This window comes from Homo sapiens, chromosome 3, assembly GCF_000001405.40.
Source record: "Homo sapiens chromosome 3, GRCh38.p14 Primary Assembly".
Classification (NCBI taxonomy): Eukaryota; Metazoa; Chordata; class Mammalia; order Primates; family Hominidae; genus Homo; species Homo sapiens.
In genome coordinates this window covers 4619544-4646724 of record NC_000003.12, presented here as the reverse complement: position 1 = coordinate 4646724, position 27181 = coordinate 4619544, and the positions used below count along the sequence as shown (strand labels likewise).

Here is a 27181-nt window from a genome sequence, read left to right as displayed (position 1 = left end):
TCAGAACATTTCCTTCTTTGTCCTGCAATTCTAGACTCTCCTTACAACAAATTACATGCTGTGGGCAGAATCTTCTAGCTTCTTTAAGTTGCACACTGATTATGTTATTCCCTTCCTCAAACAACTTTCCAAATTTCTCCCCTGCCCATAAATTAAATCCCAACTCCCTATAGCCTGGATATATGGCCCTTCAGCCTCTGGTCTCCAAAAACAGTTCTGTTTAATTTCCCATGCCTATCCCGTGCCCTTCACCAAACAAGTTACTGAGTTTTATCCCACGCTGCTTCACGTTTCCACATTCTGCACCATTCTCTTACATGAAGTAACCTACTCCATTCATCTCTTCCTTCTGAAATACAAATCATCCTGCAGGTACCAGATCAGATGCTATCTCCTTCAGGAAGTCTTCCTTAATTCTTCACCCACCCAGACATTCACCCTCTCTCACTGAAACCTCCAGAGCATGTGGAATATGCCTCTTACCACCTTCACCATCCCCTTGTGTGTTCCAGTTATCTGGGTGTATATCTTCTCATTTCTGCCCCATCACCAATGTGGGCATCACCTATGTATTGTGTCAGGTAGACACCTGGTTAAATATTGTTGTGATAGATAAATGAGCAAGGGAAAGAAAACAATAGAAGGGATTAGATGGCTCAGAGAAAGCTATTTCTAATTTCGTTTTTGAATTTGTTTCCAAAGTACTTATTCTTTCCTTCTGCACAAATATGCAGCACCATGATATGCCATGATGCACTTACTTCACTATGCCATCCCCAACCCATTTTTGGAATAAGGTGGGTATAAGTACTTGTTTGTGACTTATATATATACACACACATGTATTCTGTGTGTGTGTGTAGGTGTGTGTATGTGGGTGTATAGACACATATAGGTATATGTATGTATGAATATTTGTAGGATAGAGAGAGAGAGAGCCTATATACAGGCTGATATCCTCTAAACCCAGGAGCCCTTTCTCCACCCTACCCTTACCTCCACCTCCCACAGGGCTTTTGAACTGGTGGCAGATGTGGCCGACTGCCGGCCCGTGGTTCTCAGGAAGACGTGCTGCTTCTTCCTGTGTTCGTCACAGGTGAGAAACTTCTCCTGCTCAGCATGAAACAGCCTCACCACGTCACCCTGACAGTCAACACAAGAAAGAATTAAGGAAAAAAGAATTTAAAAAGAGAATTAGACTGCTGCCCCCAAGAAGAGCCAAGTAATGCTCAGCCCATAAAGCATCAAACTCACCCCCTTTAATATGTCGTCTTTGTTATCACTCCATTTCATGAAAAGGACTATTTTCCAGCTTGTATTGCAGTTGACGGAATTGACCTGAAACACAGATTCGAGTTATTTTTTCACGTACCCCTCACAACAACTGTGTCATCCAGCCCCCAGACTTCTCACCGCAGCCTAGGAAGCAAGGCTGTACTTGAGACTAAAAACTCTAAAGATTGACGCCACTAAAATCACAGCACCTGCAAAATCAACTGGCCTGCTGGCAGAGTTTGGAAATAAATGGTTCATTTGCACCAATCACTATGCACATTCCAACCATGACTAATGGAACCAAGCCTCCTGCCTTTCTGGAATGATATTTTCATTTTCCTCCAAGTCTCTTGTTCTGTAGCCAGAAAGTAAAGGCCTGATGAAAATAAGTACTTATAAAATGGGATGAGCCATAAAGGGAAAAAAAATGAGTCCAGTGTATACACTCGAAAATGTTAATGATCATTGTTAACAACAGCAGCCATTGTTTGTGCACTAAATCTGTGCCAGGCACTAGGTTTAGGTGCTAACACGCACAATCTCCTTTAATTCTTGGCAACACCCTGAAAAATAGGTCCGACCGCCGCCCCCATTTCAGAGATAAGGAAACTGATATGCAGGGAGACCGGGTAACCAACCTGCCGTCACAGAGCTTGGAAAGGCAGACAGGATGTGAACCCACATCTATCCCACTGAAGAGTTTATGTCTTTACCCATCAGACAAATATTTATGTCACAAGGAAGTAACATCCTTGCATCCTATAATTGCTAATTTAGAGGAGAAGTAGATGTATTGCCAAAAGCAAGCTATCACTCTTGCAGGGCTGCTGATAAGCTGCAGTGTTCCTTTTTGAACAGTTAAAAAGAGGCACCCTGTATATGGAGACAAATTAGAAAAAGGTGCTCCTATGGCCAGAAAAAAATTAGTAAAAGGGTTCATCTCTGGCTTCACCAATGAAAAAACAACCCCTCAGTGACGCAAGGCTTCACAAACTGAGCACTAGAGTGAGTATCAGCCCACATCTACTACCCACTGCACACAGTTGCACAACCTTACACGGCAGCCTTGACCCTGGGCCTGTTTCTTCACCTGCAGAATGGGCACCCTGCCCCAAGTCACTGCTGAAGTCACTCTCAGCACACGCATGCACTGGCGCCTGCCAGACCCGCTCCTGCAGGATAACCACACCCACACACATAACTCAATGTCCTTACCTCATTGCAGCCTGGGTTATCTACCAGTTGATGGCTGCTAGCATGTAGGGGCTGACCAGCATTGACGGGGTTCAGAACCACCTTGTCACCTATGACCACCTGGAATGGAAAGGAGCAATAGAGCTTTGCACAAAACTGATAAGGACTGCGGATTGACCACTGGGCAGTTCTAGAAGACATATGAGTCTGTGCTGAAGAAGGCAAGGCCTATCCCCAGCAAGTATAAAGATGTAGCACACACCACGCCTTCTTTAAAACCTGACCCTGTGCAGAGGGGGTCATGTTTACAAGGCTAAGCCTGAATGTTGTTCCTCGAGTGTCACTGATTATACAGAGATGTTTCAAAGCCAGTTCAGAGCAGGAAAAAAAAAAAAAACTGTTCAGTTTAAGGTACCTATATAAGTAAGTTTTAACTAAATTTAAGAAAAAACAAGATAGAGTCAGAGTAAGTCTTTATCTTTGACAAAGCCATAACTTTATGTTTCTAAAACAATTACTTTCATATTTTTACTATAACATTCGGAAATACATGGTCTATGATCAAGTCATATATACAGCCATTGAGACTTATACGCATGTTTCTATAATTATAATACTATATATATATGTAACTAAAACAAAAGTTACCCCCCCCCCAAAAAAACAATACTTATCATTATGTGATGTAACACAGTCTGATCTTTCTGTTCTATCCCACTTTCAAAAAGGATAGTCACAAGCCACTAAACTGATTTCATGGCCCACAAATGGGTCTACACCTATTCTTTGTAAAATATTATTTTAAATTCAAGTCCATCTCATCTTCTCAACTAAGCCATGGCCACACACAGATTCGTTTAAAGGATAGGAAACCAAAGGATGTGCTGAAAATGAAATTCAGAACAAGGCACACTTGTCTTTTATTTTTGGTTAGAAAAGATGGTTTCCTAACATGAAAAACCATCTATTTTCAAGCTTATCACATTTGAGGAGCATATACAATTGAATTTTCTCTAACTCCAAATGAATATAAGTTCATTCAATAAATCCAACACTTTTGGTGAAACCTAAGTTTTACTGGGCTTTTCTTTCTGTTCACTGTTAAGGATCAATTATTTACCAACTATGAGGGAATGGTCTGGTACTAGATGTTTCTGGTACATTCCCTATCTTATACACACAAATACACAAACATATTTAAACTTCCCAAAGCTTGTAAATTTAAATGGCACTATTAAAAAGTGTCAAAACCAGTTTTAAAGTTAAGGCTGGTTGAGCATTTTGAGACTATTTCATGCTGTTTGCGGCATATTTTTCAATAAAAAGCAGCTACTTTAGAATCGTTAACAAGGTCAAAAATACAGCTGATAGAATTTAACCACAGTCACTGTGAAGTATATGCCCACGTAATGGCTGACTAATTCAGCCAACAAATATCAGGACTGCTCTAAGTCTCCCTGAAAAGCCTTCCTGTGGCTTTATATACTGTGGAACCCTCAGGAGTGGGCCCTGCTCCAGACCTACTGCATTGCTGAACACGACGGGGAGCCTGCCGGCTTCTCGACACAGCAACAAATGAGGCTGATCCCAAATTCTACTCTCCTTCTTTACTACGGTTGTTTCTTTTCCATCCTCTATCCTTTATGAACTTTATTTCCAAAATAGAAAAGATATTTCTATTCCACTAATGGATCTGGAATGACAGGGACCCTCTCCAGGACATTAACACGGAATAGCTGTTTTTGTGGTAAAGTTCCTAACGCAATGGGCTGTTCATACAATGTTTTCAGACATCCAGGAGGAAAAACACAGTGACAGTATTTAGGTCACACTTCTCTCCACAGTTCCCTGTTTCCCAAACACTAGTTTCCATAGCAATTCCCTTCTCTTTACACAGGACAAGCCTCTGGTTCCAACTTTCAACGTCTCCTCCTTAACTCTAATATACAGTCATGCTTGGAAGCATGGCACGGAAGACTTTCTAGGTGGAGAATCCGCACTTACGCTGTCTCCAATGGATCGCAGCTTGTAGAATGGCTGAATATAAAACCAGGACCCTTCATTTCCAGCCTCGTCCAATGTGACTCTCATGGCATTCTTCTCCAACAGAGCAGGAAGCCTCTTATTCACTGTTAGGTATTTATTACTTTTCAAATGCAGGAGCTAAAAACCCACCAAGAGAATAAAGTGAGTGTCAGCAAATCTGAATTTTCTACCATTCCTTCTCTCAATCATACCAACTATGTAGCAAACATTCCTCCCACCATTGAGCTGCTGGTGAAGCCAGAGAATCACAAAGTGCCTACGGCTGCAGATGATTAGAAAAGGAAGAACAGAAAAGGGAGCAGAAAGAGAGGGCAGAATACAAGAAAAACTATCATGTTTTATTTTTCAGCAAAGCCTTGGACAAGATGGATGTTGCTCAGGTCAACTGTGCCATCATAACCTGCCATCCGTCAGTGGGGTGGACCTAGCCCTATGTGAACGGGCTAAGGAACTGCAGTGTGGCATGCCCTGACACAAAGGTGGAGCTGAGGAAGGCCACTCTGAGCACAGGCAACAGTTTAAAAAACAACGCAGGGCCAGGCGAAGTGGCTCATGTCTGTAATCCCAGCACTTCGGGAGGCAGAGGCAGAAGGACTGCTTGAGCCCAGGAGTTTGAGACAAGCCTGGGCGACACAGGGAGATCTTGTCTCTACAAAATATTTAAAATTAACCAAGTGTGGGGGTACACACCTGGAGTCCCTGCTACTCAGGAGGTTGAGGTGGGAGGATCACCTGAGCCCAGGAGTTGCAGGCTACAGTGAGCCGAAATCACACCACTGTACTCCAGCTTGGGTGACAGAGCAAGACGCTGTCTCTCAAAAAATTAAATAAAATAAAATGCAACCCCTTTAGGGGATTGTCATTTCATTTGGAAAAAATGGCTTGAATTTCCAAGTACTTTATTCTTGACTTTGGGGTAATAATTACATGAGGAATATGGAAAGACTGAAGACCTAGAGGGGATATAACGTGTCTGATAGTCAGTCTAGACCAGAAAGAGTTGGCCAAGGCTTCCCAACTCAACAGGCTATAAGAGAAAGCGGAAGGGAATACGAAAGACTGCCCAATCCCTTGAGAAATGGTACAACCAGCAAAAGACTCCATTGCTAATTGCGATTATCCTCCTTTTCACATGTAACAGATACAGCTGCTAGAACTGTTAGGAGGTCCTCCAAATCCCCGAACAGCGCAGTTGGAGGTAGAAGAATAACCTGTCTGATCCATAAGCCCCGATGACCCCTAGCTAAAATAAATAAGGAGAAGGCAACGTCTTCCCAACCCCTCAACTGTTCCCCTGGTGAGTAACCTCTGGTCCTGCACACATCTGTCTAGGTGCCAGACTCAGTTTGTTTATAAACGAAAGTTACCTACAGGTAGGCCCCAAGATCCAGGGCTGGGGGAAGTAATAATAACTAAGATTAATTATGGTGTATCCACTGCTTATTCTGGGACAGGCACCTCTCAACCATCCTAAAGAGCAGATGCCATTACCATTTCCATTTTGCTGGTGAGCAAAGTGATACATGGCAAGATTTCTTGCCCCAAATCTCACAGTGAGGTACAAAACCTAAACCGGAATGCATTTAAAAGTTTATGTCCTTAGCCTCTGCACCTTTCATCTTCATTTCAAGCCATATTCTCCAATCTAACCAAATCAGGAAGTCCTGTACTCTGAATTTCAGGGCACTGGCCTGGCCTAGTAATAAAGCTGACATTGAACTTGAAGCCCACCTGGACACCTGTGTCCATTCTGAAGAGGATGGAACTTAAGGAGGAGGAAGTGCATGAGTGGGACTGGCAGGATCTAATCTTCAAGCAGATTTTGGAAGCTACTTTCACTATTTCAAAAGGCCTAATGTAAAGAACCCATTTAAACCCCAAAGGTTGCTTTTACTAATCTTTTACTAGTGTTCCCATCTTCCTGATTAGCCCTGCTCTATACCTAATAGCAAGAGAAAGGGGAAGGACTCCTATGTAATTAGTAAGGTTTACATAGCAGGCAAAATCTTTCAAAAAGGAAAATAATGAAGGAAGATCACCAAATGGGTCTAGGTGCTCAATAGTTGGTAACTACTACTCTTTGTGCCTGGACAAATCAAGAAAGCCACATGTGGCCCTGGGCTTCCTGCAAGACTGGCATGGACCCAGAGAGATCTTCTGAGCAAAACCTGTTTAGCTTTTCCTGGATTGTGTTTTATCTCCACGGCAAATTTAAAGGCACAAAGGATAAGCAACCCATGAGAGTAGACATGAAAACAATCAAATATTTTTGATAAGTATAAAATGTATCAAAATGATAAATATTTTTTATTTAAAAAGTCCCAAAGGTACAGAATTGCTCTTATTACCTCCTGGGAGCAGCTGTTTTAGGCCAGTAGATAAAAGTTATAGGGAAGCTAATTTTCACCGAAGTAGGAAGAATTTTCAAGCATTACAAATTAAACAGAACTGCCACAGCCAGGTTCCTTTTCAAGTAGGAAGCTTCCCATTTGAAGTGTCTGGAGTGAAATGATCAGCCACAGACAGAGAGAAGTAGATGCTCACGCTGAGAGATGACCAGCAGAATAGCCCAAAGAGTCTATCACATCTAACAAGAAACACTAGACTTTTTGCAATAAACTGGCTGCCTCCATGGAGTCCTGCTGTAAAGGTGTCCAAACCCTGTCTTAGGTGTTTGTTTCCTCAGCTGCATTCTTTGTAACGCTTCAGCTTCAGAAGGGAAGAGCTGCCTTGACCTACCTGGATCACATTGCCATACTGGATTACGGTCCCCAGCAATTTCCTGTTTTCTGTCTCATTCTGCTTCTTTTCCAAGTCTGCAGCGTGCTGTGCATTGAGAAGAAAGATTGATCACAAAGAGGAAACCATGTGTTCTATCCCACTGCAGTGACGCAGAACAAATGTCGCCAGTTCATACAAGAACCACCGAAATACGCAAATCCCTGAGGACACACCCTGAGGCTTCAAGAAATGAGCCAAGGGGTTCAAACAGCCCATCCACTCCGCCTTTGCTTGGCTGGCCTTTTTGCCTTCTTTAAAATGCTTTTTTTTCTTTCTTTAAGGAATTCATGGGTATTTGCTTAGGGTGAGAGTAAGTCAAAAGCTGAAATATCTTCAAAGAAAATAGGGTCGGGGAGGGAGGGAATTTGCATAGCCCCTTTATAATCTGTGAAAGTCCTCTTTAAGGCTTTGGAGTAAAAGAAGATTGAATTTAAATGCTGGATTTGGGTGGTTTGTGGTTTTGTGAACTTGAATGTGTTATTTAATATCAGTGAGCCTGGGTCTCCTCCTTTGTAAAATAAGGATCAGATGGTACCTGCACCTCACATGAACTCCACTGCACGGTACCTGATACACTGTAGCACACATGGAGTTATTAGCTATTCTTGTTAGACATTAATCATAATGTAATCAATTTTATAATCATTCCGTGAAAAGAACATTATTATCCCACTTTTAAAGAAGAAATTGACTCAAAGTGATTAAAAAATTTGGTCACCCTTGCATAGCTAGTTAGATGATGGGTAGGAAAGGGATTTGTTATACCCTTTCTCCACTTCTGTGTACATTTAAATCTTCGCTTAATAATGTTTTTTAAACCATGCATTTATTAAGTCGCAGAGATAGTATTCAAATCCACATTTGGATTAACTGTATAGTCACAAATGAGACTGGGAGAGGTTACCATTCCAAATGTGACATGCTAGGGGGGGAACATGGTAAAGCTGAATAGAAGGTTCTAGAATAGTCTGGCAGGGCCACCTTCCCGAATTCATTCACCTGTGCAACTCTGAAAGCACTGTTACCACACTACAATAATGGTAAAGGGCAACGGGCTTCATCCCAGGCAGTCAGCAAACTGTTATCCCAACCCATCTCCCAAACATAGACTGGTGAAAGGGAAGTAAAATAACTGAGAAGAAATTCAGTATTGAATCTGATGGATGGTAAAACCCTGATGATAAGAGTGTTCTTCAGAAGGGTTTCGAAGGCACTCTTCCTAGAGGGTCTCCTTTCCTTGGGGCCAGATGCTACCAGGTGCCAGTGGGTCCTCTTTCCCAGGTAATGTGTCTTCATTTTCACAGAGTCTTCTGGACGTGGTCTTGGGTCGCCTACCTACCGGCTTCATTATCTTGTCCTCTTTACTGAATCCCACCAAGCCTCACTCAGTATTCTCATCACAAAATGGGGACAATACAAGCCTTTTAGGGCCATCGTAGAGATCAGAGAAAATGTATGCCAGACACATAATTGCCATTTGATCATAAATTTTAACCATTATTATTATACGCTACTTTCTAACACTAAGAAATGTTCTGCTGATTAACATTTCAAAAGGTGACCTAAGTTGGCTAGGTCAAGAACCTTTCTGTTTCCTTCAAAGTCAGCATCTGTTCCATTTCTACCTGGAACACAGGTGTTTTTAGGAAAGCACATCTTTTGAGAAAAATGAACTGCCAGAAGCAATTCTAAGCCAAAATGAAACCATATTACAGGAGGGGAATGATCCACACAGGTTAGCATAGATCACTGCAAGTTGACCCCATCTGTATCAGCTCTTTAAAACAACAGCCCATTCAAAACTTCCCTCTCTCTCTTTTGGAATTAGTTACCAGTCTGCTATTCTCAGTGACACAAGGATAAAATCCACTGGGTGCAAGACACATTCAGAAATAATACCAGTGCTTGCAACGTGGCAATCTTTGGCATGCAAGTTGCCCTCAGCACAGTCCTCCTGAACCTTTTCTTTCCTCTGCATAAATACTCTCCTTAGCAGCCTCCCACCTCTTGTTCTCCCTAATTTCACACCTGAGCTTACACTCCCTTCAGAGATTTCTACAGTACCCACAGGTTCTGCAGGTAGTCTTCCAAACATAACATTGGACTGCATCCATTTGGAATGAAGGCTTATTCTTTGCGGAGAGCCATTTGTTCTTTCTGCTTAAGAGTTCTCAGCTAACACTGACTGCAAACTCAAGAGGGGGAAAATATCAAAGGGAAAAAACTCAATGGATTCAGTAAAATAAAATATAACATTTTCCAACATGCAAATATGGTTTTTCTCTGTTCAAAGCCCAAGCTGAAAGGATTCACCTTTAGAGAGTTCTTAAGTAGCATTTCTTGGACTCAAATGATCAAAGAGCTCATCTTTAAGAGAAAAACTGCTCATGAGCATTCCCCTTACTCTCAAGAATGTCCAATGGCTTCAGTTTAAGAAATGCTAATATTATGTTTCTACCTATGCTTAGAATAAGTACAGTATAACAACAGCAACGCAATGGTTACTGGTTCATCTAGAAAGAAATGTCAAATTAACCATCAAGAAGGCATATTCCACATTAAAGACTAATTAAACACGAGCAGCTCTAAAGAGCATAGTCATTTGTCAAAAGACATATGAAAGGCAAGAGAAGAACAGAAAATTAAAACAACATTGGAGAATAAATATCTAAAGACTTCTCTTAAAAGAAAGATACTCTTGGCCAGGAGTGGTGGCTCATGCCTGTAATCCCAGCACTCTGGGAGGCCGAGGCAGGCGGATCACCTGAGGTCAGGAGTTTGAGACCAGTCTGGCAAACATGGTGAAACGCTGTCTCTACTAAAAATACAAAAATTAGCTGGGCATGGTGGCGGGCGCCTGTAGTCCCAGCTACTTGGGAGGCTGAGGCAGGAGAATCACTGGAACCCGGGAAGCGGAGGTTGCAAAGAGCTGAGATAGTACCACTGCACTCTAGCCTGGGTGACAGAGACTCCATCTCAAAAACAGATAAATAAGACATTCTCAAATATCACATCTAAAACTTTGTCAAAACTCTGTTAAACTAAGAGTTAATACTATTTTAATTCTGTTATAAAGTTTAATGATGCCTGAGCCTTCACATCACCACTGAATTAGCACTAAATGTATTAAGCTTATGGACCATTTTAAGAATTCACTTTTCCTATAAGTTCTCATTAAGGAGAAAACTTCCCATTTCTTTTCTAAATGCACAAATATCAAATTTAATTCATTTCAGTTCACATGTTAGTTTTTATATAAATCCCCTCACAAAACCAAGTCTGGGCTAGGCGCGGTGGCTCATGCCTGTAATCCCAGCACTTTGGGCGGATCACGTGAGGTCGGGAGTTCGAGACCAGCCTGACCAACATGGAGAAACCCCATCTCTACTAAAAATACAAAATTAGCTGGGCATGGTGGCGAATGCCTCTAATCCCAGCTGCTCGGGAGGCTGAGGCAGGAGAATCACTTGAACCCAGGAGGCAGAGGTTGCAGTGAGCTGAGATCATGCCATTGCATTCCAGCCTCAAAAAAAAAAAGCAAGCAAACAAACAAAAAAACAAACAAACCCAAGTCTGGTATTTAGACAAAACTATCCATGATTCTTTTTAGGTTCAACAGGAGGCAAGGCAATAAGGTAGATGAAAAGGTAACAAGGTACAAACACTACAGGCCACTGATCAAGGCTGTTTCTACCCTCAGAAAGAATGAGATCTGGTTGGTTAAATCCCTCAAGTACATTCCAAGAATGGGCCCTCACTGTGAGATACTGAGTTAGCACCTTTTGGCTGGGCGCAGTGGCTCATGCCTGTAATCCCAGCACTTTGGGAGGCCGAGGCGGGCAGATCACAAGGTCAGGAGATCGAGACCATCCTGGCTAACACAGGGAAACCCCGTCTCTACTAAAAAAAAAATACAAAAAATTAGCCGGGCGTGGTGGCGGGCACCTGTAGTCCCAGCTACTCGGGAGGCTGAGGCAGGAGAAAGGGGTGGACCCGGGAGGTGGAGCTTGCAGTGAGCCGAGATCGTGCCACTGCACTGCAGCCTGGGCGACAGAGTGAGACTCCGTCCCCACCACAAAAAAAGAAAGATATTGAATTAGTACCTTTACTGAGTTAGCACCTTTCTAAAGGATACTCAGGCAATATTGACCAAAAAACTTTTCACTCAACATAACATTGACTTAACAATTCCACTTCTAGGAGTTTCTCCTAAGAGGACAACCTGGCATATGCACAAGGCCATACAACTTTTTTCAGAATGGCAAATGTTGTCAAGATCCTGAATATCACTCCCTACCTAACGTCTGCCCATAGAGGCTGCTTATCTAAAATGACAGTACTGCCAAACAAGGAAGTAACCGTGTAGCCATTAAAAATGAGGATAGAGGCCAGGTACGGTGGCTCACGCCTGTAATCCTAGCACTTTGGAAGGCTGAGGCGGGCAGATCACCTGAAGTCAGGGGTTCAACACCAGCCTGGCCAACATGGCCAAACCCCGTTTCTACTAAAAATACCCCCAAAAATTAGCCAGGTGTGGTGGTGCATGCCTGTAATCCCAGCTACTCAGGAAGCTGAGGCAGGAGAATCACTTGAACCCAGGAGGTGGAGGTTGCAGTGAGCCAAGATCGCACCACTGTACTCCAGCCTGGGCAACAAGAAAGGGAAGTGAATAGCACACTCCTGTTGATACTTTAAAATGTGGAGACACAGGAACAGAATAGGGGGTAGGAGAGTAGGGAAAACATCAAAATAAAACCCAAGGTTATCTTTGAGGAACACAATTTACGAATCACATCAATTAATATTTTTTTGCTTTTCCTACTCACAGATTTTGGAATACTCCTCCTAAAATACAAGTGTGTAGTTTCTTCAAAAACACCTTCATCATGTCTCTGTGTCAGGTACTCTGAATTTTTTAAAGTCATGCCATGGCTCATGTCTGTAATCCTGGCACTTTGGGAGGCCGAGGTGGGTGGATTGCTTCAGCTCAGGAGTTCAAGACCAGCCTGGGCAATGTGGCAAAACCCCAACTCTTCAAAAAATACAAAAATTAGCCAGGCATGGTGGTGTGTGCCTGTGGTCCCAGCTACTGGGCAGGGAGGTGGGAGGATCACTTAAGCTCAGGAGGCTGAGGCTGCAGTGAGCCGGGAACATGTCACTGCACACCAGCGTGGGTGATAGAGTGGTGAGACTGTCTCAAAAAAAAAAGAAAAAGGCATCTTAAATGTGTTACCTTTTCATTACTTTAAAATCCTGATAATTTAAATATCTATTACTCTTTTCCCTTGAATAATGGGTTGCGGGCTGTTTTTAATTTCTAAGGGGAAAAAAAACACTCTATGAAATGGTTCCACCACTATTATTCACCATGTTCCCTAAGCAACATCAAGGTCTGCCCCATCATAGCCACCTGTTATTTTATTTCAGCAACAGAGAAACTATTATCGAATGACAATAGAAAGGTGACTGAAACAGTAAGGAAAGGTTATTTTGTTAAAGTCAACAAGCTCTGAATCATGTAATGCGATATTGAAGCAAGGCTTCTAAAAACAAGCAATGTAGTACCCAGACAATAAGGACCTGTCACTCCTCTAGCTCTTCCTAGCTGGTCAAAGCTGTGACTTAAGTAATCATTTCTCAGAACAAAACAATGTAGGTGCTTGTTTCAAGGTAACAGCTATGCTGCTGTCAGAAAACAGTAGTAATGGCCTTTAGAAGAAATTTATGTGATTTGCGGATGGGAAGAAGCTCATTTTGTCAAGAGACCCTTAGGAAAACATGACCAAGAGAGTCAAAATCCAGTTATTCCTGCAGAAGGAAAAAGCATAGACAGTATCCAGCCACTAGATGTCACTCTCCTTCAAAGTGCTGTTGATGTTGCTCATCCTAGTCAAAAGGAAGTCAAGTGGTCTAGACAACTAATTCCTTAAATGGCATTAATTTAAAATAGTCTGACTTCTGATTGGGGTGCTGCATAGTAGTTGAGAAAAATAAAAATGAAAACCCACTGGAGACTGGCCATCAGTTCCAAAGGCAAAGTGGCTGTCCAAAATACAACATCGTATTGGCTGGTGGGAATGTAAATTGAATGAAATATGTAGATAACTTTAAGACACTAGGGGGAAAAGTTCCAGCTAAGTAGGAAAGTAGGAACTGCAGAAAGTGAAGCACAAAGTCAACATTCAAGACCTGAGGCCGGGCCCAGTGGCTCATGCCTGTAATGTCAGCACTTTGGCAGGCCAAGGCAGGTGGATCATGAGTTCAGGAGATCGAGACCATCCTGGCCAAAATGGTGAAACCTCGTCTCTACTAAATACAAACAATTAGCCGGGCGTGGTGACGCACCCCTGAAGTCCCAGCTACTCAGGACGCTAAGGCAGGGAAATCGCTTGAACCCGGGAGGTGGAGGTTGCAGTGAGCTGAGATCGTGCCACTACACTCCAGCCTGGCAATAGAGCAAGACCCCATCTCAAAAAAAAAAAAAAAAAAAAAAAAAAAAGACCTGAAAGTCACATCAGTAATCTTAAATCAGGGAAAAGAACTGGCTTCCTTTTTTATTTTTTAAAAACATAAACAGCATGAGAGAGATTTCTGTTTTTCTCTTTTTTCTTTTTAATAAGGAGTTGACCATTTTTGATCACCTTATGATTGAACTTTTTTCAACCATGCTGTTTTCTTCACAGTTCATTCATAGGAAGGAGTGTCGAAAGGACTTGCTGATGAAACATAACATATAGAGCACAGGTTGCAAATGGGGCTGAAGAACCACATCCAGCCTGAGCCATTTCTTTTGGTGTTGAGTGTATATTTCAAGCCTTAATTGAATTAGTTCCCAACATCTTTTTAAAATTGAGATACTACACTAAAAGCATGGATTTTTATCTTCTCTTAAAAAGTGGAAGACGTGGCAGCAGCTCTCAGCCCACATTCCCAAGCAGTGACAGTAGGGAAGTAGAGCTGCCCCTCCAGACCCACCCATGGGACTCTCCACTTGGCAACACTACCCACCAAGCCCACTTTATTCCTGTTGATTTCCCGTATGGCCAAGAGGAATCTGAATTTACAACCCCTGTGGTAAAAAGTATAGGAGAGGAAAGAGTTGGAGATGTATTAATAAGATCTCACTGAACAAAATGATCTTTATACCAGAAAAGCAAAGTGAGGACAACTAAAGACACATAGACCCTCCAGAAAGATAGCCCCCTATGGGCATATGCACTAAATATACATACATGCAGGACTGACCAACCTTCCCCACCTATTCAACTAGATTCCCATGTTCCCAGCACAGACTTTGAGGAGATTATGGATTGCTGCAGTGACTGGAAGAGGGTGCTACTGATGTTCAGTGGACAGGAGCTAGGGATGCTGGGTAAAGTGAACGCATGTTACAATCCTATGCAAGGATGAACCATCATTTATCCCATACAATTGTATGTCCAGCTGGATATTCACATAAGTTAAAAAGTTATCTGTCGGCTGGGCGCAGTAGTCCATGCCTATAATCCTAGCACTCTGGGAGGCTAAGGCAGGAGGATCGTTTGAGCTCAGGTTGTCAAGGCTGCAGTGAGCCATGATGGCATCACTGCATTCCAGCCTGGGGGTATCTGTAATTACCTGAACCTAGCACCCCACTCCATTTTACATATCAACAGAAATCACAGCTTTCCATGGTTTTATTAATACTATTAATAAATTTTCCAAACGTGCAAGTACTACTTAAGAAAGAAAAGAGTGTACTTTGCATTATTCATAATATAATTAAGAACTGCTGATTATTTTGGAAAAAGATACGATCATAATCCCAAAAGGCACAACAATCCTGAATGCCATAATCCCAAATGTTAAAATCCCCAAAGGTCAAAAAAGACCAAAATCCCCAAAATATAATTCCGGAAAAAATAATTTTAAAATTCTTTAAAAGAGATTGATATTTTTAAAAGAGGATTTGAGAAACATATAAAAACACAACAGAACACTTCACAGGCCATTTTATACAATAAAATGGGGAATAGTAACATACATATTTTTGCAAGCATAAATACTCAGGTATACTAACAATGGTCACAGGGATTATGCGCAGATTAACCATAAAGAAATAGGTCAAAAAGGGAAATGTAAAATCGTGTATCACTATGGTTGGTGATTGTGTGCACCAAGCTCATACTGCAGTCATCTGAAATACCATGACCAGCAACCTGAGTCTTTTCACAAGATCGATCAAAACCACAGAGGGTCACCACTGGATATGCAGTCGCCCAAAGAGCTGAGAGCTCAAGTAATTTTATCTTTCACAAACACAAACATCTCTTCATTCATCGAGGAAGAACATCCCTTTATTTGCAGGGGAAGTTCCCATGTTTTCACATATTCACGTCAAGTTGTAACAATGCACTTTCATGAAGTTAAACTTGCAAAAGAATGCATAAAATGAATCAGAACTCTTTAATGTTAGTCGCCACACCATTTAAATCTCCAATATTGAAAATGATGCGAAGATTAAACACATAGCATAGTGAATTGTAAAAAATAATGCTGACAGGGCTGAGCACGGTGGCTCACCCCTATAATCCCAGCACTTTGGGAGGCCGAGGCAGTGGATCACTTGAGGTCAGGAGTTCGAGACCAGCCTGGCCAACATGGTGAAATGCTGCCTCTACTAAAACTACAAAAAAATTAGTAGGGCGTGGTGGTGCATGCCTGTAATTCCATCTACTTGGGAGGCTGAGGCAGAAAAATCGCTTGAGCCCGGGAGGCGGAGGTTGCAGTAGGCCGAGATGGCGCCACTGCACTCCACCCTGGGCAACAGAGTGAGACTCTGCCTTAAAAATAATAATAATAATAATAATAATAATAATAATAATAATGCGGACAATTTAAAATAGTAAAAAAAAAACTTTAAAAATCTGATATAAGAAAAAGTGTATTGCAGGAATAGATTATGGGCATTTGAACAGAGACAGTCCACAAGAGCTGGCCTAACATGCAGCTATATCCTACGACTGTGATTTTCAGGATTTTACACTTTAGGGATTTAGACTTTTGGAACTGAATTTTTAGGGATTTCAACATTTGGGATTATGGCACTTGAGATTATGTCTTTTGTGATTATGCTTGAAGCCCTTTTAGAAAACCACGTCACAGATAACATGCTTTTCACACTGCCAATACCATATACCTACACCAGTCACAGTCTACAGCTGCCTCACTCATGGGGTTTATACAGAGAGGTGCAAGCACTTACTTCCTCACGCCTTCCAGAGCAGTCATCCCTGAGCATTGACTTAAGAAGAGTATTCAATTTACTATATAATTTATTACTTTCCTTTTATTTCTCCTTTATAATTTTTTAAAATTGGTATCTATTATTTATGAATTTTATTCCATGTTCATAAAGCCATATAATATTTGCTCTAAAGAAGGTACAATGCTTTTGTTGGGATTGAGGATGTCTGATATAATCATCATTATTCAAATAACGATGCAATTCCAGAAGTCTTCAAAGCAATCACTAGCCTCCAAGTCTTTGAGTCCATTGTTTCTTCTTCTTCTACCCTCTAAATCCCATGGGTGCCTCCGACTGAGGCTTACTCGGCACTTCCTTCTTCCTCCAGGAAGCCCTCCCTGACCACTGTATCACACCCTCTTATCCAGCAAAGACCGATTTGGCACCCTTCCTATGTGCTCCCACAGCTTTGTGTGGTTTGTCCTGTAATATAGTACTTATCACTGCCTCTTTATTCTTTGATATTCAGCTCCCACAGGGTTAAGACTGTTATACTTCTATCTCTAGCACCTAGCACACTGCTCATTCATTATTCAGTAATTATTTCCGAGCACCTACTATGTGCCAGACACTATTACAGAAGCTGGGATACAGCAGTGAGCAAGAGAGATAATGCCACCACCTGGTAGAGCTGTCATTCTAATAAGCGACAGGTGATAATTAACGAAGCTACTAAATATAATTGCAGACCCTGATCAGTGCTGAGAAAGATATAAGCAGGGTGCTATCATGGAGAAAAACAAGCAAGACATCTCTTAGATAAGGTGGGAGGGGAAGACCTTGCTGAGATGACACTTCGGCTGAGACACAAAGGCTCAAAGTCCTAGCTCAAGAAGAGCCAGGAAAACAATGTTCTCAACAGGACAAACTGAGGGTGCAAAGGTCATGTGACAGTTGAGAGTCTGAGGTGCTCAAAAAATAAAATAAAATATAAAATAAAATAAAATAAAATAAAGCTCATACGGCCAGAATGTAGTTAAGAAGCCTCTGTGGGGGCAGCAGGGTCCAGGCATGGACCATCTTGTAGATGATGACAGAAAGTCTGGATTTCACTTTAGGTTCAATGGGAGTGAGCTTAGGTGTCCTCATGCTGGACTGTAAGCTCCCTGAGGTGAGGAGCCTGGGCTTTTCATCACAGCCCGTCTGAAACAACACACACTGCATGTAGGACTCCCTTCACGTGACCCTCACCTGACCAAATGCAGCTGGCTGTGACTTAGCCATACGCTGGTCAAAAATGGAGCAAGGTGAGAGGCAGGACCTCTTGAGGTGCTTGGGGCTCACAGATGCTCTAGGTCTTCAACTGTCATCACTGAGCCCCAGGAAAGATCACTGTGCATTCCGTGAAATATTTGATGGGAGTGCCTGGTAAGTGCCCAACCTTGTTGTAGACACAAAGCCCACTGCAACAAGCAACACTGACACAGACCTGGGCCCTCAAGAAACTCACATGCCAGAGGAGGGAGGCAGCCAGTAACCAAAATACATTAGAAAGATGATGTTACATGACGGGGAGAAAATGAAGTAGCTCAGGGAACAGGAAATGGGGCACAATTTCGATGTTAGTACACTGGCTATACGTCATGTCTCCTTTTAAACATCTCAGAGAACTTCCTGATTAGCCTCGGAATGCAGGGCACTAAAAGAACTATGTCATTATTTTACAGAAGGTGAAACAGGATGAGAGAGGCTCAAAAACTTGCTATGGTCACACAGCACGTCAGCAGTGGAATGAGCACATCTTTAATATGCCAGATAACACAACAGATACAATGCTAACAGCCAAAACTTATCAAGCATTTATTATGTGCCAGGCACCATTCATGTGGCTTTTATGTCTCATTTTCTGTAATCCTCACAATGACCTCCTGAGGTGGGTACTGCCATTTCCATTTTACAGGTGACATAACAGAAGTGGAAAACAGCACATAACGTGCCCAAGAGCACCAGTTGCTGAGTGGTGGAGGCAGGATTCCATTCCAGGCAGTTTGCTTCCAGTGCCTGTACTCATAACCACTTCTCCATCCAAAGCTACCCATGCAAAGAGAGTGGCTGAGAAAAGAAGAACTCTCCAGACATCTCAAGATGACTAGGATCTATCCCTCTCTACGGTCGGTTCCCTTCTACCCCTTCACGAAAAAAAAAGTAGAAAGCTGGCTGCTAGAATTGGAGGGTTGCATAAGCAGTCTCCCACCATTACACCCAGATACCACCAAGGCAGCCACTCACTACTGCCCCATCGACAGCCCCATGGCAATACGTACGTGCAGTTTGTTGAGTAGCACTGCGTCTGTGGTGCTGTTGGCCCCAGGCTTAGCGGCTTTCCAGAACTGCTTTTGGGCAGAGTAGCGGTTCATGGGACATAGCTTAAAGAGGCAGTCTAGAAGTGAAGCAAACAAACAGAAATTGCCATTGAGGGTGTATAGAGACTCAGCCTAAGGAAAAAAAAAAGGCTTTCCACTTAAAAAATTACATAAAATTACATCATACATAGATATAAAATGAGAGTACAAAGCTCTTTGACAAATCTCTTTTTGAATTTAATTGCCACCACCGCCGAGGAAACCAAGGCTTAAAGAAAGTGAGTCGATTGTTCTACAGAACCACTTGGTAGCAGAGCTGTACAAATTCAGTGTTTTGTGTTTTTTTTGTTTGTTTTGCTTTTTTGTTTTTGTTTTTAAGACTGAGTCTCCCTCTGTCACCCAGACTGGAGTGCAGTGGCACAACCTCGGCTCACTGCGACCTCCGCCTCCTGGGTTCCAGTGACTCTCCTGCTTCAGCCTCCTGAGTAGCTGGGACTACAGGCACATGCCACCAAGCCTGGCTAATTTTTTATATTTTAGTAGGGATGGGTTTTGCCACGTTGTTAATGCTACCCCATAGTTATCTCATTTCCTTTACAATGAACAAATAAATACAAGGACAAATAGTCCTTGCTGTATACAACAATGCATACAAGTATTTTTTTTTTTATACAAATCCAACTCTCTTCAGTACTATTCAATTTAGAAAAAATATTACAGGCCCGGCACGGTGGCTCATGCCTGTAATCCTAGCACTTTGGGAGGCTGAGGCAGGTGGATCACTTGAGGTCAGGAGTTTGAGACCAGCCTGGTCAACAAGGTGAAACCCCGTCTCTACTAAAAAATACAAAAAATTAGCCAGGTATAGTGGTACGCGCCTGTAATCCCAGCTACTCCAGTGGCTGAGGCACAAGAATCGCTTGAAACTGGGAAGCAGAGGTTGCAGTGAGCCAAGATCACACCACCGCACTCCAGTTTGGGCGGCAGAACAAGATTCTGTCTCAAAAATAAATACATAAATAAGATGCTTATTTGGAGGGCTCTCCTAGGGCAGTGGTCTCTTGAGTACTGTGTGCAAGATGACCTTCTGGGACACAGAAAGAAAATATATAAACTGGCATTTAGATAGTCTGTGCCCTTGTCCCCTCACTCTCAGTGCACTGCGATGTGCTTCCATTTAGCATGCCTCGGTTTATACAACTTTATACATTGTCTTATGTGGTATAACCAACATTCATAAAATGGACAAGTGGCTTCAAAAGATTTCTGCAGAAAAATCAAAACATCAAAGGTAATAGTAATGCAACCCAGCAAACCAAAAAAGGCAGAACCAACCCTTCCCTTAGAGCTCTTGTAAAGCAAAAAGAATGATGATCTAATCAGATCTGGAAAAAGCCATCCAGACATTAAAAATCATAACTAAAACCACTTAAAATATTGTTTTTAATGATGAACATTACCCTAAAGCATCTATGTGTTTTAAGGTATTAATGATAATATGAAACCATCATAAATAACAGGGTACATTATTGTTTAATCTTAATCTGAGTTATTACCTTCTACTTTCCACTTGTTTTATATTGCCTACAATGTGTTACTACAATAATACACGTTTGTAACTTTTAAAAATACACACACACACACACACACACACAGAAAGTTTAGGGTATAGCCACCAATTTTTTTTTTAAAGAGATAGGGACTTGCTATGTTGCCCAGGCTGGAGTGCAATGGCTATTCACAGACAATCATAGCACACTACAGCCTGGAACTCCTGGACTGAAGCCATCCTCCTGCCTCAGCTTCTCAAGTAGCTAATATTTGGGCTTCACCAGATTTTTCTGACAGGGATATGTCATCAACAAACCAATAACTACTCTAGGAAACCAATATTTAAAATTGACACTCCCCATGAAAAGTTTACATTTTGACATACTGAGTTTTCAAATAGTAAATATCTGAAGAGTAAAATTAATGAACTTGGGCCAGATGCGGTGGCTCACGCCTGTAATCCCAGCACTTTGGGAGGCCAAGGCAGGTGGATCATGAGGTCAGGAGATCGAGACCATCCTGGCTAACATGGTGAAACCCCGCCTCTACTAAAAAATACAAAAAATTAGCCGGGCGTGGTGGCGGGCGCCTGTAGTCCCAGCTACTCGGGAGGCTGAGGCAGGAAAATGGTGTGAACCCGGGAGGCAGAGCTTGCAGTGAGCCGAGATCACACCACTGCACTCCAGCCTGGGCGACAGAGCCAGACTCTGTCTCAAAAAAATAAAAATAAAAAATTAACGAACTTGAAGTGGATACTGATATTCAGAAAAATGACACCCTGAAAGTAGGTCTGGACAAGCATTTAAGGAAGTTACTAACTGTACATTTATTCTTACCTATTCATTAAAACCGATTCCCTTAAAGTGCCTTGAACAGGTAAATACCTAGCTATTGTCCTAGTCAAATAAATATCTCAAAATAAGAAAAATGGATTTGCAGTCAAGTACATAAACACTAGGTCTTTCCTCTAATTCAGATCACTCTTTCTTCTAGTCATGATCCATAATTAACTGTTACTATGTACTGCATACACAAATACCTGAGACTGTTCAGAAAAAAAAAAAAAAAAGATCACTTAATTGTAGAATAGGTATTTTTCCAGTTTCTGTAATCTCCTTCATCACTAAATATTTCTACCTAGTCACAGGCAGTTATAAGGTAAATATGGGACCATGATAGCTATCTTTATCAAGAATCTAATCCATCTACTGAATAATTTCTACTGCATATGAAAGATACTCTCTAGGACTTTGGAAAACAAAAGATAAAGCAGGAGACCAGTTTAAAAGACCAATCTGCTCTCCCCACCTCTTAGGAAAGACACAGGTCATGGTCATTTGCTATATTAGTGGCAATTTAATGACATTACATCCAGAGCAGCAGTTTTCCTACCAGCTTAATATTAATATATGTGAATTCTCCATTCACTCCATGAATAACCATACATGACCAGGAGACAGTAGTTTACATTAACTATCCCATCTTTGACACAGGCCTGAACATTATCCCAAAGCATCTATGTGTTTCAAGGTGTTAATGATAATATAAAACTATAATAAACAACAAATAACAGAATACTGCATTATAGTTTAATCTTTTTTTTTTTTTTTTTTTTTTTGGAGACAGAGCCTGGCTCTGTTGCCCAGGCTGGAGTGCAGTGGCACGATCTCGGCTCACTGTAACCTCTGCCTCCCGGGTTCAAGTGATTCTTCTGCCTTAGCCTCCCAAGGTGGCTGGAATTACAGGTGCTCACCACCATGCCCAGCTAATTTTTGTATTTTTAGTAGAGATGGGGTTTCACCATGTTGGCCAGGCTGGTCTCGAACTCCTGACCTCAAGTGATCCACCCACCTTGGCCTCCCAAAGTGCTGGGATTACAGGCGTGAGACACTGCACCTTACTGTTTAATCTTAATCTAATTCGGGAAACTGGGTTGGGCCAGAATGGCTTCCTTAATGACCACATGACTTTTTAAAATATTCAAGATATTTAAGTCACTGGCATTAACATTTGACACATGACTTACTTTATGGACCAAATGGGGTTAACAATGTCAGTTTTCACCAATAGTAAGCTATAGAGAGTAAAATGACCTTTTCTCTCCAGCATGCTTCATATGATGACACTAAGTGGTATGCATTCCCAAAAAACTGATTTAGGTAGATGTGGGGGACACTCAGGGTGGATTCATGATGCCAAAGGATAACAGACAATGGAAAGCATTTTACAACTGTTCACAGTACCAGCAAGTCAAGCACGTCACCTAACAAAGGGGCTACATCACAAGCTCAAAACTTCCGATAACTTTACATTCCCCTAAGGTGAGAGGGTGTATTTAAATAACATCAATCCAACCAAAGCCTTGCTCCAACTTCCACATCAACTATTTTCCTTGGGCGAAACAGAGTATTGCATTGCATTAAGTGTATTTACAACCAACTGTCTGTGTAAATATAAGAGATGCTAACATACTAGTAACAGAACGAAATTAGCCTTGCTGATTTTGCCCTGCCTTCCCAGTTGCTTAGCAACTGATTCAAAGTGAAAATTAAATTAAGCAATTCAAATGTAATGTTAGAATAACCTTCCAAAATTTTGCAATTTGCAGGTTCCATATTGCCCTTTGCTATTTGGATGGCACAGCAGAGCAAAATTAAACTTGCACTGGGCCCTAACACTCTGCTAAGTATAGAAATGTACAAATACAGGAAAACCAGAAGAATATATTTAATATTTATTTGGGGGAAGGAGAACACATGTGTGTACATATGTGTGCGTATGCATGCATGCACACACACATACACTGTTGTTTGAACTCACCCCAAAGAAATGCCACAAAGAATGTCTTATGTGACAAGTATTATTTTAGGCCTTTGAGGAATAAACTAAGCTAGCTTTCAAAAAATTATGGTGGAATATTCCAAAGTTAGAGCATATGCCACATTGAGTTAGCAAAGGAGAATGCAGCTGAATAAAGGGGTTGAAGCAGGCGTTAAGGGGCTGGGTGGGCTAGAAGCCAGACAGAACAGGCCACAGGTGAGCTTCCATTGTATCAAGGGCATGCTGGAGCCAGGCTGGAGGGAGAATGCTCAACTGCTTTATAGATGAGTTTGACTATCAAATCAGGACTTGTGGTGCACACTTAAGAGGAGATGGGAGCAAGGGGAGCCACAGGTGTGCTTCCAGCACTCTGGGTTGGGGCAGAAGCAAAGTGAGAAAGCAAAAAAGTCAGCCGACCTTCAGAGGTATCCATGTCAGTGACCAAGTAAAAGAATAAAGGTTGCCAGACCAGCAGAAACCCCACTGTGTCCATGCCCTCCTCCCCACTGCTAGAACTTTCACCACTAGACTGTAAGGTCTCTGAAGGCAGAGACTTCTGTCTGTTTTGTATGTTTTGGTAGCCCAGGGTCTAAAGATTGAGTAGAAGCACAACAATGGTGTTGAATTAATGATTTAAATGTGCTACAATCCCCAGTGCTCCAGAAACAACTGCAGATATGTCCACTGAAGTCACTTTCAGCTCTAAGCTTCCCAGTGTTCATTCTTGGATTCAATTACTACTTATTAAAATGTTTAGGCCGGGTGCGGTGGCTCACACCTGTAAGCCCAGGACTTTGGGAGGCCGAGACAGGAGGATCACGAGGTCAAGAGATGGAGGCCAACATGGTGAAACCCCGTGTCTACTAAAAATACAAAAATTAGCTGGGCGTGGTGGCGGGCATCTGTAGTCCCAGCTACTCAGGAGGCTGAGGCAGGAGAACCACTTGAACCCGGGAGGCGGAGGTTGCAGTGACCTGATATCACACCATTGCACTCCAGCCTGGCGACAGAGCAAGACTCCATCTCAAAATAAAGAAAGAAAGAAAGAAAGTCAAAGGCTGGCCGCAGTGGCTTATGCCTGTAATCCCAGCACTTTGGGAGGCCAAGGCAGGCGGATCACGAGGTCAAGAGATCGAGACCATCCTGGCCAACATGGTGAAACCCCATCTCTACTAAAAATACAAAAATTAGCTGGGCATGGTGGCATGCGCCTGTAGTCCCAGCTACTCAGGAGGCTGAGGCAGGAGAATCGTTTGAACCCAGGAGGCAGAGGCTGCAGGGAGCTGAGATCACGCCACTGCACTCCAGCCTGGGCAACGGAACAAGACTCCTTCTCAAAAAAAAAAAAAAAAAAAAAAAGTCTACTATGTGCTGGTACAAGACTGGATGCTGAAAATACAGCAGGGATCCAGTTGCACAAGTCTGTTACCACAATACCAGTGACAGGGACAAACTGGTCAAATATCCATGTTGAATTACAGCAAGTTAGAAGTACTATGGAGGCAAAATTTATCTATGGATGCACTAGGGCTGAGGTGGGGAGGCAACACTTTCTACAGGGTCATCAGGAAAGGCAACTCTAGGACTGTGGCATCTGAACTTGGAGTTGCAGGAGGAGAAAGGAGGAGCCAGCCTTCATAAAACTCGGGCCAAGCCCCTCAGGCAGAGGGAACAGCACGTGCAAACGCCCTGAGCTGGAAGAAAACTGACAGATTGAGTAGAAAAGCAGGACTGGTAGTAGTAGGCAAAGGCTAGAGCTGCAGAAGATAAGGCTTGAGAGGGAAGCAGAAGCTGCACTGTGCAGGGCAGTGCAGGCCATGGGAAGGCATCGACTCATCCTAAACACAGTAGGAAACCACACAAAGGCTTCAGCAAAGGAAGAACCTGGTGTGCCTGGCTGATGCTCCTAAGGGAGCTTTCATATTGGTGATTGATATGGTTTGGATCTGTGTCCCCACCAAATCTCGTGTTGAATTGTAATCCCCAGTTTGGAGGTGGGCCTGGAGGGAAGTGACTGGGTCATGGGGGTGGATTTCTCATGAATGGTTTAGAACCACCTCTTTGGTGCTGTGCTCATGATACTGAGTGAGTGCTCGCAAGATCTAGTTGTTTAAAAGTGTGTGGCACCTCCCACCTTGATCTCTTGCTCTTGTCATGAGTGATGTGCCTCTTCCCCCTTCACCTTCTGCCATGACTGTAAGTTTCCTGAGGTCTGCCTAGAAGCCAAGCAGATGCCAGCATCGTGCTTCCTGTAAAGCTTGTGAAATTGTAAGCCAATTAAGCCTCTTGTATATCTTGTATTTCTCTGTAGCAGTGCGACAACATTACGCTAATACAGTGATGGTACCTACCAAGAAAGGGAAGAATGAGGAGTGGGATTGTGGGGAGAGGAATGGACACCGAGAATTTTAATTTTGGCTCTGCTTAGTTTGAGATGCATACGAAACATCCAAGCTGAAATGCTGAGTAGTGAGTAGGCTGTCCATCAACTAGTAAGTTGAAAATATAGAACAGTCAGTTATTTAAAGGTGTCAGAGGGTGGGGGGTGGCAGAAAAAGAGGAAGGATGGGGAGTTGGAGAGGAGGAAAGTTGAGGAAGTCAGTATCACAAATCCACTGTAGCTATACATCTGGAGTGAGGGAGATCCCAATCTCCCGATTCAAATTCAAAAAATAATTTAATTCAGGCTGACAAAAGCTTGAACTTGATTCAAAGCTTCACAGAGCAGAAAAAGGCCCTTTCTACTCTCTTTACTGTTCACTACCACCAAAAAAAAAAAAAAAAAAAACCCACAAAGAAAATTAGAAGAAAAAACCCAACTCCATCTTCTACAAAACCCAAATCAATCTTCCCAAGTTGCAATAAATAAAGATGGAAAGAGGATGGAGGGATGGAGCTTGACAGATGAAGTAAAGTGAGGCCTCTGTTTCTGCACAGGGTACCATGAAAAAACACGCAATTAGCACTGCAGAACCCTGGAAAGGCTTAGTAACTGGGGGCTCCAGGCATCAAGGGTGACAGGAGTGGGATGAGGACCAGTAACGGAGGATTGGATGAAAACACACAGGAAGAGCAGTCAGACCCCTGTGTCCACCCACCCCATATAGTCCAGACATCTGTTCCTTCTCAAACCCTGCAGGAGACTAAATCTTGGGAGAAAATGGACCATTGAGGCTCTGCAGCTGCGTGTACCATGTACAACGAAGGCATGTAAAACTGAGGAGGAGAAATAGAAGTAAAGTGACTAAGTAAAAATCCACACCTGGGATGGTGAAACGCACAGGCTCCACCCCAGCCAGGCTTCTCTCCAGCAGGTGTCTGGAACATCGTCTTCTAACTATAGCTCAAGACCCAAACTGGGTCCACTGCAGACCATTTTTGTATGACTCACAAACTCAGAGTGGTTTTTACCTTTTGAAATAGGAAAAAAGTCAACTATAACATCCTCAAAGACTGGAAATAATAACCAAAAGTGAAAAAGCACATAACTTTAAAATGCAACCAAATAAAAACTCTGAGAAATTTAAAATGCAATGACAAAAAATGTTTTAATGTACTACAGAAAGTAGAAACAAAAAACAAAGAGAAATGGAAGGGGAAGAGGAAAAAGAGAAAAGAGAGAAGGAGAGGGGAGAGGGGAGAGGAGGGGAGGGGAGGGCAGAGGAGAGCAGGGGAGGGCAGAGGAGAGCAGGGGAGGGCAGAAGAGAGGAGGGGAGGGCAGAGGAGAGCAGGGGAGAGCAGAGGAGAGCAGGGGAGAGCAGAGGAGAGCAGGGGAGAGCAGAGGAGAGCAGGGGAGAGCAGAGGAGAGCAGGGGAGAGCAGAGGAGAGCAGGGGAGAGCAGAGGAGAGCAGGGGAGGGCAGAGGAGAGCAGGGGAGGGCAGGGGAAGGGGGAAGGGGAAAGGGCAGGGGAAGGGGGAAAGGGCGG

General features: G+C 42.6%; 1 protein-coding gene across 4 annotated transcripts in view; it reads right to left on the bottom strand.

Annotated features, from left to right (window-relative positions):
* The window catches only part of ITPR1 (inositol 1,4,5-trisphosphate receptor type 1), a 354159-nt gene that overhangs the window by 200782 nt on the left and 126196 nt on the right, over positions 1–27181 (bottom strand). For all 4 annotated transcript variants that reach the window (NM_001378452.1, NM_001099952.4, NM_001168272.2 and 1 more), the window contains 6 exon segments: positions 18847–18962; positions 7255–7341; positions 4474–4632; positions 2491–2589; positions 1255–1338; positions 997–1143 (listed from right to left, as the gene is read on the bottom strand). In NM_001378452.1, the coding sequence (NP_001365381.1) occupies positions 997–1143; positions 1255–1338; positions 2491–2589; positions 4474–4632; positions 7255–7341; positions 18847–18962 (692 nt within the window).